The sequence below is a fragment of the Homo sapiens genome, chromosome 18 (genome assembly GCF_000001405.40).
Source record: "Homo sapiens chromosome 18, GRCh38.p14 Primary Assembly".
In the NCBI taxonomy this organism is placed as follows: Eukaryota; Metazoa; Chordata; class Mammalia; order Primates; family Hominidae; genus Homo; species Homo sapiens.
Genome location: NC_000018.10, coordinates 23,941,916 through 23,956,630, shown reverse-complemented (window position 1 = coordinate 23,956,630; position 14,715 = coordinate 23,941,916). Strand labels below are relative to the sequence as shown.

At 44.2% G+C, this 14,715-nt stretch overlaps 1 protein-coding gene across 15 annotated transcripts in view, besides 1 other annotated feature; it reads right to left on the bottom strand.

Moving 5' to 3' along the window:
* The window catches only part of LAMA3 (laminin subunit alpha 3), a 265,614-nt gene continuing 252,463 nt past the window's right edge, over positions 1,565–14,715 (bottom strand). For 14 of the 15 annotated variants that reach the window (XM_011525978.3, XM_011525982.3, XM_011525980.3 and 11 more), the window contains 7 exons: positions 12,660–12,843; positions 10,347–10,487; positions 6,707–6,866; positions 6,472–6,602; positions 4,854–4,947; positions 3,522–3,641; positions 1,565–2,128 (listed from right to left, as the gene is read on the bottom strand). In XM_011525978.3, the coding sequence (XP_011524280.1) occupies positions 1,983–2,128; positions 3,522–3,641; positions 4,854–4,947; positions 6,472–6,602; positions 6,707–6,866; positions 10,347–10,487; positions 12,660–12,843 (976 nt within the window). In that variant the 3' untranslated portion in view covers positions 1,565–1,982. The other variant, XM_047437505.1, reaches the window with a different exon arrangement.
* Positions 4,342–5,202: an enhancer, noted in NCBI's record as "H3K27ac-H3K4me1 hESC enhancer chr18:21531393-21532253 (GRCh37/hg19 assembly coordinates)". NCBI's record gives its function as "activates a minimal SCP1, AML or CMV promoter by ChIP-STARR-seq in primed H9 embryonic stem cells {active_cell/tissue: H9 hESC(primed)}" and the evidence as "EXISTENCE:reporter gene assay evidence [ECO:0000049][PMID:30033119]".

The window sequence follows — 14,715 nt, the reverse complement described above, 5'->3', positions numbered from 1 at the left end:
GTTCTTTTTCCTCAGCTGTAATTTCATCTGTGACTCTCTCTGCTGCTTTCTGGTGGCTGGAACTGTATTCAGCAAGGGCAGATAGGTGGCTGTTCTTCAAGCTTTTACGAAATGGGGGAAAACCATCGGTATTAGTCAGTGAGGAATAAACTAGCCCTTTCTTTTTGTTTTTCTTTTGCTTTTTTAGACACAGGCTGGAGTACAGTGGGGTGATCCTAGTTCACTGCAGCCTCAACCTCCTGGGCTCAAGTGATCCTCCCACCTCGACCTCCAGAGTATCTGGGACTACAGGCATGTGCCACCAAGCCCAGCTAATTTTTTTTTATTGTTTTGTAGAGACAGGGTCTTGCTATGTTGCCCAGGCTGGTCTCAAACTCCTGGCCTCAAGCAATTCTCCTGCCTTGGCCTCCCAAAGTGCTGGGATTACAGGTGTGAGCCACCACACCTGGTCATTACCCCTTTCTAATGAATCTAGGAAGTGCTAACAAATAATCGGCACCAGTGAATAACTCCTTAGATTCAGTGAGGTTAACACTGGGGACCCAGAAGAGAGAACCACCGGCTTAGTGTAGACCTGCCAAAGGCAGGTGTTAAAATGGATGATCCTCTTGCAGACTCAGTTCCTGGCTGGTCATCACCTGGTGAATTTTTCATTTTAAAATCAATATTTCAAGAAAGCACATAGCTTAGAGTCATGTAGTTTAACCTCCAACCCAACATGGCATCCCTAAGGACCACCACCCAGCCTCTGTTGAATACTCCTATGATGGGGACCTCGCTACCTCTCCAGGAGAACATTCAATTTCTGTATAGATGTGGTTAGAAAGCATGTCCACAAGACTGCAGTGTGGAAGTCAGAAGAGAACATTGGGTTGAAGGGGATGTGACTCAGTTTCAAAGGTGCAGGGTGTGTAGCTATAAGGGTACCACATAGGATTACTATATCCAATTTTTTAGAATTATTTGTTATTTTTCTTCTGATGAACAAATACTATGTAGAGGATATGGAAATGCTTGTGTAGCCTTCTCTGTTAGGGAAAGTGGTGCTGGGTAATAATATTGGTTCAGTACATCATTCATTATTTTGTAGATAAAACTAGAAGTGAGTCCTCCATCCCACTGACTTTGGTTAGCTTGCCATATGAAGCTTCAGTGATGGTGCGTTACATCCATCTCAGCTTCCCTACCAGGTAGTTTGTGCCCTCAAGGAATTGATCATCATAATCTAGACTTGGTTGGTAGCAGGCTGGGGAAGGCTAGGATTGGGAAACCAATGGGCTTCATTAATTAATGGGTTCATTAGTTCAGTTTGTTTGTAAGTTACTATTTTATGAATATTATATGTCTCCCCAATTGGACTGCATATTCCTTAAGGGCAGGAATTTATTTCTTATCCCTCACTGTAGTTGCAATAGTGAACACACACAAAACCCTCATCAGTATATGCTCAGTGATTATCTGTAGAAGACTATGTTGTAGGTAACACATTGAACTGGTGCTGAAGAATTAATCCAATTAACAATGACCATCAAGCCACTTCTTTTATGCTAATAAAACATCATAATTTAAGGACTACACTGCATTTTTTAATTCCATAAATTATAATCCTTTAACATATATGAAAGTTTCATATTCTTAAAGTGCTTTAAAATATATTTAATTTTTTTAACAAGTGGAAAAGAATGTTTCTTAAAAGACATTTAATTTTTTAGTGGAAATTAATATTACCAAAAACATTCTGTGCATAACAATTTGAATAACAATTTTTTTATCTTCAAGAAATGGGATTTTTATATAAAATACACATGTAGCACTGAATGCCAAAGTGATGGGTATCCATGGTCAGAATTCAAAATTAGATTCGCTATTAAACCTGTCTGGTTTGTGTCCTGAGTGAAGAATGATCTCGAGCTGGGGAGGGAGGTGCATTGGGTAATCAGTGCTTTTGAAGGTGAATTTCCTTGCTGTGAAATAGGCTTGGGTTACTGGTCAGGACAACCATTCAGACTGACAGGCCCCTGGACTTCCAAGGCTTCAGTGACAGGGACAGGGATGTGATTGACATGAATATTCCTCAGACAGCCAAAGAATGATTTCCACACAGGGATCCTCAGTGTCGTCAAATTGGCTGAAAGAGAAAGTGGAGAGGCATTCAGTAAATAATTCATACTGTCCAGGGACTGTTCCCTGGATTTTAAAAGATAGTATTTTTTTTTTTTTTTTTTTTTTAGACAGGGTCCTGCTCTGTTACCCAGGCTGAAGTACAGTAGTGTGATCACAGCTCTCTGTAAACCTGGGATTCCTGGGCTCACACAATCCTCACACCTCAGTCTGCCAAGTAGCCAGGACTAGAGGTGTGGGCCACCACCCTGGGCTAATTTTTAATGTTTTTGTAGAGATGGGGTCTCACTATGTTGCCCAGGCTGGTCTTGAACTCCTGGCCTCAAGTGATCCTCCCGCCTCAGCCTCCCAAAGCTCTGGGATTACAGGTGTGAGCCACCATGCCAGGCAAAAGATAGTCTTAGTGGAGAAAGCTAAAGTGACTTCACATCTCAGCCCACTCAGCCCTCTCCACTTCAGGCAGGCGTCTGACACTCCACCTGCTGTGATAAATCAGCAACAAGGCTACTGTTCAAGTTCTTCAGAGGAGAATCCACTGCCCAAATCAATAGCTCTAAACTGGTACTTTTTATGGGTAATGAAAGACCTATACAATTAACAACCGGATTACAGTGTATTTGGAGGGACAGAAAACAATGAAGAATGAAAAGGCTCTTCCCAGACAACATTCCAGTCTTGAACTTGACTCCATTTCAGCCTACCTGATTCTCCCAGTCCGGTCCCCAAAAGCTTAATAACTCACTAGTAAAACTAAATACCTGAAGAGGACAGAGACCAGTTTTTCAGACCCTTTTCCTGACTCTTTACTGGTATCAGGCTTCTAGGTTAATGCAACCTCTTAAGAAAGGATTATAAATTATAGGCTTGGGGCCAGGTGCAGTGGCTCACACCTGTAATCCCAGCACTTTGAAAGGCTGAGGCGGGTGGATCACCTGAGGTCAGGAGTTTGTGACCAGCCTGGCCAACATAGCAAAACCCTGCCTCTACTAAAAACACAAAAATTATCCAGGCGTGGTGGCATGTGCCTGTAGTCCCAGCTACTTGGGAGGCTGAGGCAGGAGAATAGCTTGAACTTGGGAGGCAGAGGTTGTGGTGAGCTGAGATCACATCACTGCTCTCCAGCCTGGGCAACAGAGTGAGACTCCATCTCAAAAAAAAACAAAAAAAAAAACAAAAAAAAAAAACAAAATTACAGGCTTGGGGCAAGGGGCAACAGCAGTAATGGGGCCTGGGCTGACCTGACAAGTGCTCCTTTCCAGCAACTGCCTTTCCCCACATGCCAGTGCAAAGGGCCTCACCATCTCCACTGTCCAGCCAAGAGCTGCCCTGCCACTAATTAAGAAGTGAATGTTCAGAGCTGACACAGGGCAACACATTATAGAAGTCAGGACAAGAGTTACCTGGAGCACCTCCAAGGTGTAGTGGCTCTTGAGTGCTGGCAGGTGGGAAGGGGATCTGTCCAGCTGTGTAGCTACTGTCTGTGTCCAGTTCCAGGTGCAGGATGTGTTGTTTTATGGTGACTGGGGAAAGGAGGCTGGTTAGGTCTATCATCGGAGGTGAGCCCTGCTTAATGTCTACACCATTGACTTTGTTTTAACTCCTTCATACTAGACCTGTGGGAGTGCTGTTTGCAGAAATTTGGTCAGCTTAGATATAAATTCAATTAACTTCCTCTAAACACCAGGTAGTGCTTCCACGTACATGAATGAATTTTACCCTTAAAATGAATCTGTGAAGAAGAAATTATCATTCCCCATTTCCCAGATAAGAGAATGTGTCTCACTGAGGAGCCTGACAAGATGGCTTGGTTACCAAGAGTTGGGATTTAAGCTCTGGTCTCCTGTGTCCAGAGGCCATGCTGATTTCATGTGATCTCAGCTACTTTCTATGAAGACACTGACTTCTGAAAGCTGATGCCAAAGACAGCTCTTTTGACTCTCGACACAAAATTCCTCTCATGTTAATGATCTCAGCTAATTGCAATGTAGTTATCTTTTAAATTAGCCAAGAAAAGGCCACTTTTTTACAAAAGGTATTTTAGCCAATATGGGTTCATAGATCTCTAATATCCACAAATAATTAATAAAATAACAGATTCTTTTTGAGAGGAAATGCTTGCTCTCTACTCATCGGGTTGTCTAAATAGTTAGCATTAATATTAAATGGTTGTTGAAAAAAATAACACAACAATGAGCCTTAACAAAAAACAGATACTTACTGAACACTGACTACATATCAGACACTGGGCTAATAACCTTTCACACATTGTCCCATTTAATTTCCACAACCTTAAGAGCCATACCCTATTTTTATTTCCATTTTACAGAAGAGGAAACCGAAGGTAAAGAACAATTAAGCAACTTGTCCAAGGTCACACAGGGAAAGGGATGGAACTAAGATTTGACCTCTGTTCTAACTTCAGAGCCAAAATCTAAATCACAACGTTATACTATCTTGAAAACTAGCCTAGCTTATTAGTGTGCTGGGCTCCAAAAACAAACAAACAACAACAACAGCAACAATAAAATATTTGATAAGTTCTGGAGAACTGGAGGTGGCAACCATGAGTGACGGAAGCATGGCTGGGGTTGTGAATGGACACGTTAGCCTCGGGGGCTGGCCCTGGTCAGGCACTGTGGATGGAGGGGCTGAGGCTGCCTTTGGGATGTTCAAGTCAAAATGGAAAGGGGGCCTGTTTTAGTGCATGAACAATCAGCTACTGGACAACATACCTGCCACCGAGTGCCACTGTCCATCACACAGAGACTGCTTTGGTGTGACCGACGTTGAGGTCCCACCTGCCCCACTGTCCATAGAGGCCGTGACCTGGAACACACATGCATTTTCCTATTTCCTTCAGGAAGGCAGGTGGAGCCGACCTTCCCCTGCCATCTTCCCTCCCCAAACCGGGCCAACTGACAGCTTAAGGGCACATTAGATATTGGCCCTCCTCCGCTTTTGAAGCATTTGACCACATGGGGTCCAATGCTTCCAGAGATCTCTCTGCTGCATCCCTTCCAGGCAACTATAAACCAGGGTGGACCCTGGCCTGAAGTCGTTGCCAATGGCAATGAGTTGTTCCCTTCTAATCCAAACCCCGCCCCCATCAGCTCAACTCAAAGGTTACTGATTGGAATCCTCCTTAGCAATTAATGCGTGACAGTGGCTCTGTATGGAAGGATATGTGAGATGTGGAAGGCAAAGCTACTGGTGGAGGCCTACAGCCTGCTGCAAGGGCCAGCCAACTGTAATAGTTCCATGCATGGCAAGACTTTAAACAAGCAAAATGATTGAGTTTGCTCTGGGCACGCATCGGGAGCCAGGCACGCAGTCTGTTTTGTGCAGAATCCCACATTCCTGCTTTCTAAATCAGGGTCTCCTCCAGGATCTTCCAAGAGTTGAATCAAGGGGAATGAAATGAGAGGACTAAAATAAGTGTGTTTATAAATAATTTACATTTAATTTGCATGTAGCTAGATGGGACAGCCTATTCACAGGCAATTTTTGAGCTAAACAATGTCACTGCTATTATGAAGGTCATCGGGTCTTGATTTGTTTTCCTGAGAATAATTCCCTCCCAGAGACTCTCAGTAGAGACTCTCTCCAGCTCCTCCTCTGAAAAACCAGAATTGTCTCAACCACCTTGCAAGTGGATAGTTACTTGCTTTTCTGGGCTACCAGAGACCTACTCAGACTTAATTAAAGACTACAATAGAAAGTATTCTAGGAATTTTGGGCATTTTATTTTCTTCTGGGATTCTTTTCCCCTCACATTTAGTAAACTGTGGAAGGACGGAGATGAAAGAAAATGGCATATTATATCAATCTTTCACTCGAGGCCTCAACTAAGGGTCTTCCTAGAAGAATCTGGTTTTAAAGAGACATCTTTGAGAAGGAAAGAGATATAACTGGGTGGTGGAAAATAAGATGTTGACTCAGGCCTGTGAGTGATGGAAAAATGAGGCTGCAGAGATGAAGAAAGAATCTGTAAGAATTGAGTATATGGCGATTTCTATAATCTTGACAAAAGCCTTAAGTTATAAGAGTTATTATCTACATTTTACAGATAAGTCTGAAAGAGCTTGAGTAACATCCTTAGGACCATATAACCAAGTGCTGGACCTGCAATTCAGCCCGACTTGTTTGAGTTTTCCCAGTTTTAAAAATTAAGAACAGAAAACATGATGATAAAATTACTTGCTAAAGGAAAATGGTAAGTTAGCACTGAAGTCAAGGCTCTTAAATACAAGATTGGATCCCATTCTCTACTACAAACCTGACCCGCTGTGGCCTCCAGACATTGAAGCTGGTTTCTACAGACCCTCCCCATGGCATCAGACTGCTACACACCTTTCCTGCCTCCAGGTAAACACATAAGTGCTTCCCGGGCTGACTTCCGATGTGTATTAGGATCCCAGTGAGACTTCTTGGGCGGATGCTGAAAACAAGCTTAAATTCTGGCCCCAACAATACAGAGTGAGCTTTCAAAAGAGAAACAAAGCAAAAGTTAAAGCATCACCATGAAAGAAAACAGGATACAGTTCTTAAGATGCAAAGACTTAAATTCTATAGAACTGCTCCTTACCCAAGACGACATGACCTCCTTCTTCAGAGAAATAAATGCCTTTCTCCAAAGGACCACCCAAGCAGGAAGACACCCCGAAGCTTGAAGAAGGGGTATACAAGGGTTTTGAATCCAGCTGAAAGTTCTTCAGGCATCCCACAAAGCTGTTTGTGGGGAGGCTCTGCAACCAAGCAGAAAAGAAAAAGCTCATTACCTACACCTCCAAGAAAGGCATGGGTAGCCAAGGCGAAGGGCACTGCAGCTTGTCAGCAAAAGGGGGAAGGTAGGTAGGGATTCATTCTTCCCGCTTCCAAGTCAGGTTCTTCAAACTCAGGTTCTAATAGCTGTTCTATTTGGCTCTCTGCCCAGAGTGCCAAGAAAAACCTGTATACCAGATGTTGGGTGGGTGGTCGAAGATTGCAGGTGCCACCAAAAAAAGTGGTGTGTGCAGGAGGGCGGGCTAGTGCAGGTTGCTAGCTTGTGCTAGAATAAGAACAGGGAAGGTTGACCTGACCCTGGTCCTCACAGATGGAGCAGCAACAAGGGAAATTTCCACCTTACAGTTCACAGATTTCACCGTCTCTTTGCAGATACAAACCACTTCTTAGAGTTCCACGAGGCAGTGTGTTAGCTTACTGCAGGGCAGCTGACAAAAATAAAGAGGCCAAAATGTTCCCAAAATAATAAAATGCAAAAAAATCTGCCTACATTGTTGGGCTCAGTGCACCACCACCAAGTCACGAATGCTGCAGAGTTAAAATAAGACACAGTGTGCATTGACAGTGGGCTTGCGTGGAGCCCCATGCCTGCCTAGAGCCGGCTGGAACAGGGGACTCCTCTCCTGGGGCCCAGGAACAGGCTTGTGGGGTTCTGTGCTCTCCTATATTATACACCAGGTGTGTTCTGCGTGTGCATTTTCCTGGGGAGGACTGTAAATTTCATAAAATTCTCAAGAAAGTTTGAGATTCACCGAATAAAACTCTTGAACTCCCTTCTAGAATGAATGCCTTTAGGACTCTGGAATCCTACAAGTCAGACATGGTAATAAAGATATGGTAACTTTAAAAGAAAATGGTGGCCAGGCACAGTGGCTCACACCTGTAATCCCAGCACTTTGGGAGGCTGAGGCTGCTGGATCACCTGAGGTCAGGAGTTTGAGGCCAGCCTGGCCAACATGGTGAAACCCCGTCTCTACTAAAAATACAAAAATTAGCCAGGTGTGGTGGCAGGTGCCTGTAGTCCCAGCTATGCAGGAGACTGAGGCAGGAGAATCGTTTGAACTCAGGAGGCGGAGGTTGCAGTGAGCCGAGATCGTACTACTGCACTCCAGCCTGGGTGACAGAGCAAGACTCCAACTCAAAAAAAAAAAAAGAAAGAAAGAGAAAATGTTGATGTGATAAATGCACATGGTGCCAGCATCAACAGTAAACTACTGATTGGATTCCCTATGAAACTTTTAGTTTCTTAAGATTTGTCATGCTACACAATGAAAAAGCTGTGTCCTAAAGCTAGGACTCCCCAGGATGGGCCAGAACCCAGCATTGATCCCTAAGGGCTGACTGCAGTGCCGGTGTTCAGAGGCAGACACTGATCGGATGTGGCCTGCTCCTGAAAAGGATATGTGGGAGGGCCCATGAGATGGTTTATACCCTCAGGTTGAAAGAAGGCTGCAAAAAGAAACTTGGTCTGTAAAGAGTATTGTAAATGGGGTGCTACTATTTGGCCCAGATGTTAGATGCTGGGTGTGATTAAGGTGGTTTGAAGAGAATTTATCCAAAGCCAAAGAATACCCAAATCCTGCCCCATCCTGTGATTTCTCTGAGTTGAAAATAGGGGCCGGGCACGGTGGCTCACGCCTGTAATCCCAGCACTTTGGGAGGCCGAGGAGGGCAGATCACGAGGTCAGGAGATCGAGACCATTCTGGCTAACACGGTGAAACCCCGTCTCTACTAAAAAATACAAAAAATTAGCCAGGCATGGTGGCAGGCGCCTGTAGTCCCAGCTACTTAGGAGGCTGAGGAAGGAGAATGGTGTGAACCCAGGAGGCGGAGCTTGCAGTGAGCTGAGATGGTGCCACTGCACTCCAGCCTGGGCGACAGAGCAAGACTCCGTCTCAAAAAAAAAAAAAAAAAGAAAATAGGAACAGAGGTTGAGAAAAGTAAACATTAACAATGAGAATCCTCCTTAGCAATTAATGTGTGGTGTATATTATATATATAATGTGTATTATAAATAATGGATAATATGGTATGTATTTTTATGAAATATATATAAGTTACTGCATATAGCAAAGCAAAGTAATACTCTGTTGCCTGCTGGGGTATAATAAATATACTTTATTGTATAACACTGGAGCTCTGGCCCAAACCCCAGTGCAAAACCCAAGAGGGCCAGGCTGAGCCCTGGTCAAGGCTAGGGCAGCCTAAGCAGCTAGCATCCAAGCTGGTGGAGAGACCTGCTTTCATTATGCCCATTTCTAGGCCCAGATTTGAGCCCGGGGCTCTTTTTTTCCCACTGCAAGCAAACATCACACCAAAATGTGCCACTGGGTCTGGAGGAAAAGGGCAAAAATTGCATTAAGGCGGAGGACAGTCCCTAGACCTGAGCTGTTGATAGGCTCATCTTACTTAACTTTGTGGGGTGGGGGGAAAGGCAAATCTGAGACAAGAAAGACAGGTGCCCAAGGCTGCCTCAAGTAACCCTGGTGCAATTAACGCTGTGGCAGGGGGTAGGAGAGAGGAAGGGAGAGGGCACTCACAGAGCTCAGCCCTGGAGCTGTGGCCCCATCAGAGCGCCCCATCAGAGCCTTGAACTTGACAAACCTAGAAAAGCACCCCTCCTCTCTGGGGACAGAGGGAGTCCCAACTTTCCCTTCGTCTGGCATTCCCAAGATGGGTTTTTGAGATAATTTTGTTATTTCAGACATCAAATAACATTAAAACACATATTCCATTATTAAGTTATTCCTTTTTCAATTCTCTTTCTAGCGTTTGGACGAGGACAAGGAACAGCTTTTGGCTTTGTGCTAGTATGTCTTAAACACCCTCTTGATTACGTGTTAAGCACCTTTTTCTCCAAGCAAAGAACACATAGGTCACACTACTTAGTTTGATATTAACAGTGTTTGGTTTTCAAATGTTTATTTCTCAGGGTTATCTATTATTTATGGTAAAGAATATTGGGTTTCCATTTATGGGAGAGATAAAAAGATCCCATAGAAGCACATTTAAAATAAATAGTTTGATGGAGAGAAAACAGTTAAGCCAATGTTTTACCTTATGGCAAAGATGGTGAAAATGGCACAAATTACTGTAATTTGAAACACATTATGTTAACCAAAAAATCTCTGTCTATAACCTAAAACCTACGTTTTTGCATTCCCTGGAGGAGAAGCCAATAGATTCAGGTTTAGGAAGTGGCAGAGAAGCTCTATCTTCACCCTTTCAGGGCCTGCGTCTCAACCTGCACCTTAGAAATGAAGGCTTTGGGTTAAGAAATGGGCACTTACTCTATGTGGTTGTGAACATTAATTAGATCCTTAAAAATCATTTAAAGTATTTTGAGATTCTCATATGGTGAGTATTTTGAATATCTCATACAATTATGCCTATAATATAAGGTGAATTGTTTCTGTCCATGGCTCTGAACATAACTATTTACCTTTGGTTTCCCTGATGGAGGTGATCCCAGGTAAACTGGCGCTCTGATGCTGATGGTGGAGTTTCCAGGCAAACTTCCCTCCCGGGCCCTCAGTCCATCCACAACCAAGCGCCCCTTTTCCCCATCATGGCCAAACACCACCTTCAGAGTAAGAAAGATACGTGAGTTGTATTTTTACCTTTGACAATTGGTGTTGTATTTTATTAAATATTAGTGGCCAAATTAAAAAAAAATGTTTTCATGCTCCTTCAAATAGCTTCAAAAGATGAGAGATTTTTTCCTCCGGTTATCACTATCACCATCGTTTTGTGAGATTATGTGAAATACTGAACAAACTGAGCTCAAAAGGGGAACTGAAAAAAAAAGGTTGCTTAGAAGTGAACTAATCAAAAGAGATTATAGAATTCATCTGGAAACTTACACAAAAGAGAAACAGTTCAAGGCACAGCCACAGGCAACCCCCTCCATGTAACAAAGGGGCAGGGACAGTTTATACAGTGCTGGGGACGGGGGTGTGTTGGAGTCGTGGCACCCTGGGCTGGCCTCTTGGAGCAGGTAGAACGAGGGCACTTCTCTTCAAACAAGAGGAGTGTTTAAACTCTTTGCTAAAATTTCTGATCCCTGGGGTCTGGTGTGGATTCTGCCATCTCATAGGTGTGGTGAGACTATTCACTACGGACACTTCCATTTATATGCCAAGCTGTGACCTTTGGCCTCTACTGCCTGCTGACACCTGGGCTTGAAGGTCTGACAGGCCACTCAACCCTGAGATGTTCACGACAGAAATCCTCATTCTCCCCCAGCTCTGAACTGCTCTCCTCCTGGCCACATCTGCCTCTTCTCCATCTTCATCTCAGTAAATGCCCACTAATGACTCAATTGCTGGCCCCAAATCACAGGATGTGATCTGGACCCTCTCTTCCTCTCACCCTCTATATGTGATCCATCAGCAAGGCCGCGTGGTTCTACCTTCAGCATGCGTCCTGGCGGTCACTTCTCCCGACCTCCCCACAGCCTCCGCAAGCAAAGGCAATAGCAGCCATGTGGGCCCCCTGCTGCTACTCTTGCCCCCTGGCAGTCTCTTCAGCTAAAGAATTAAATAATATATGAATCTGTACATGTAAGAGTTTTATTTTTTTTATTTTTATTTTTTTGACAGAGTCTTGCTCTGTCGCCCAGGCTGGAGTGCAGTGGTGTGATCTCGGCTCACTGCAACCTCCACCTCCTGAGTTCAAGCGATTCTCCTGCCTCAGCCTCCTGAGTAGCTGGGATTACAGGTGCATGCCACCATGCCCAGCTAATGTTTGTATTTTTAGTAAAGATGGGGTTTCACCATGTTGGTCGGGCTGGTCTCGAACTCCTGACCTTGTGATCAGCCCGCCTTGGCCTCCCAAAGTGCTGGGATTACAGGCATGAGCCACCGCGCCTGGCCAAGAGTTTTAAGACTCTTTAAAAGCTTTACAGACACTTTCAAATAAAGTCCAAAGTCGGAGCTTGGCCTTCAAAGCTTAAATGATCTGGGCTCTGTCTTCCTCTCTAATTCCATTTCTTATTGCTTTGTGTTTTGTTCATTCAGCTAATTCCCACCTCCAGGTCCTTGTTATTTGCTCTTCCCTCTTCCTGGAACCCCCTCCCCATAACTTCATGTGACTACCACCTGCTGTACCAGGGCTTTCTCTACTGCCTTATTTAAAATAGTCTCCCTGCTCTGTCATTTTCTTACCTTGCTCTAGTGTTTTCTCAAAGCACTTACCAATCTCTGACATTACATTGAGGATTGTTTGCTTATGTGTTCCAGGAAGGCAGCTGAATGACTAAGGGAATGCAACTTGTCAAGTCACTTACATTTTCTGAAGTCCAGTTGCCTCATTAGAGAAATAAATAGGTCCCTTATTGCCTTAAATGGTATTTCTTGAAATCTGGAATGGCTTTAAGCAAGAGCCAAGATGCTAGGGTCATTCCAGGTCCAGAGAGGGGCCTGGAGGCCTGGAAATTGGCCATAAGGGGAAGAAATGGTCCAGGATGAAGGAGTTAGAGTAGGCAAGGGGCATGAGGCAGCCTGGGGGAGGGCTGGAGGGGATGGAAGAAGCATCAGTAAAGCCCATCTTGACTTTACTGTCTAGGATGACAGCCATGCAATGTGTGTGCCGCGGCCTCCAGTACTGAGATGCTGGGAACGCAGCGCCTGCAAGCACACAAGCTCTCCCACTCCACGCCCTCATGTCTGGGAAGGATGCTGGGACTCCTATTTTCAGCGACTCCAACAGTGAATTCCACACCAACTGGAGATACTGACACAGCCCCAGCTCTTACCGTGTGCCATTTCCCATCATTGCATTTCTCCTTGCTTTTGATCCTCAATTTTTTCCCATCTGTCCCCAGTGCAAAGACCAGACGTCCTTTTGAAAGATAAAGAGCCATAAAGGAGTTCTTAGTGCCCGTGTGAAACACCAGTCCTCTGGAGGATGTTGTCTGCATGTCCACAGCAAACTGTGACCTGTTGGGAACATCGGCGATGAAGGGAAATAGAGGTGTTCAGCGTTCCTTCGAATCTCAGCACTGAGACAGAGGGTGGGGAGCAAACACCCAACCCCCATTTTTCAAATGGATAAGCTAACGTAGGTACTGATTAAATGACCCGTTTCTCTGGAAACTTTAAAAAGCTATTCTATTCCAGCTGTTAATGGTTTTGTTGTATAATTTCCTTACTACATTGGGGAATAACATGGAACTTTTGTGGCAAACTTAGCTAGTGGTGTAAGTCCCAGCACATGGCAAGAAGAAACATGTCTGAATCTTTTATAAAAAGTCCATGTTTTAAAAAGTTAGGGTAAAATACGCTAACCTAAAATGTGCCATCTTAACCTTTTTTAAGTGTATAGTTCAGTACTGTTAAGTACATTCAGATTGTTGTACAATCAATCTCGAGAACTCTTTTCATCTTGCAAAACTGAAACTTGTACCCATGAAACAAGAGCTCCCTAGTCTCGCTTCCCACAGCCCCTGACAACAAACCACCACTCTACTTTCTCTCTCGATGAACACGACTACTTGAGATACCTCATGTAAGTGGAATTGTAGGGGACTTGTCCTTTTGTGACTGGCTTATTTCACTGAGAAGCCTGTACTTTTCAAACTCAATGAATATGCATTCTGTTTTGTATGTATTCGTGGAGAGGGAAGTCGTAGGAGAAGTAGGGGACAACTTGAATAACAAGGATGTGATTTAAGCATCAAAGAAGCCTTTCCTTTCTGTTAGACAGATTTAACCAAAGACACGGAAGCACAGACCCACCTTCTCCCACCCATCTCTACATTTCTTAGACCCTAATACCCTCCCTGTGAAGGAAGAAGAATGAGGCAAATATCATACAGTAAAAGCAGAGTGTGCCAAGCAAGGTGGCTCACGCCTGTAATCTCAGCACTATGGGAAAATCCTAGCACTTTGGGAGGCCGAGGTGGGTGGATCACCTGAGGTCAGGAGTTCAAGACCAGCCTGGCCAACATGGGGAAACCCTGTCTCTACTAAAAATACAAAAATTAGCTGGGCGTGGTGGTGGTGCCTGTAATCCCAACTAACTTGGGAGGCTGAGGCAGGAGAATCGCTTGAACCCAGGAGGTGGAGGTTGTAGTGAGCCAAGATCGTGCCACTGCACTCCAGCCTGGGTGACACAGCGGCTCTGTCTAAAAAAAAAAAAAAAAAAGCAGAGTGCAAGTTAGTATTCATTTGCATGATGGTTACATGTTCTATGCACATCCAGCTAAGCAAGCTTTACTTTTTATGAAAACTCACACTCATCCATCCATCCACCCATCAAACAAGTATTTAATGAGTGTGGAAGATGCATAAGGTGCAGTGCTGGACAGTAGGAATGCAACGATGGATGTTTCCTTCCTTGAGTGGTTTATGGTGCAGGGGTGCCCTGAGAGGGATGCATAAAGGTGTGCGTGAAAGGGTCGTGGGAGATGCAGATGTCAACAGGCTGTCCTCAGCCATTCCTGTGGCTAACGTCTTAAGCAGACACCAGATAGGAGGCATGGGTTCATCCCACTCACAGCGGCATCCCCAGTGCCTATTACGCAGTAGGCACTCGATAAATAGTTACTGAATTGAATTAAATGGTAAATGGGAAATTTGGAGGCAGAAACCAGAAGTGGAAGAAACAAATTATACTGTTAATTCTCTTTGCTTTTTAATTCTGTGAGGCTAAGATGCACATTTATTCTTCAGATTAGCAAGTTTCCTTGAGGGCAATGTTCTTCAAAACGAAAGAGAAATCTATATTTGTTAAATTAAGCCAACCAGATGGTAACACTGCTCAATATTTCTCTTGGTGTGTCTGTGTGTTAGTGCGGAGGTTTGGAGAAT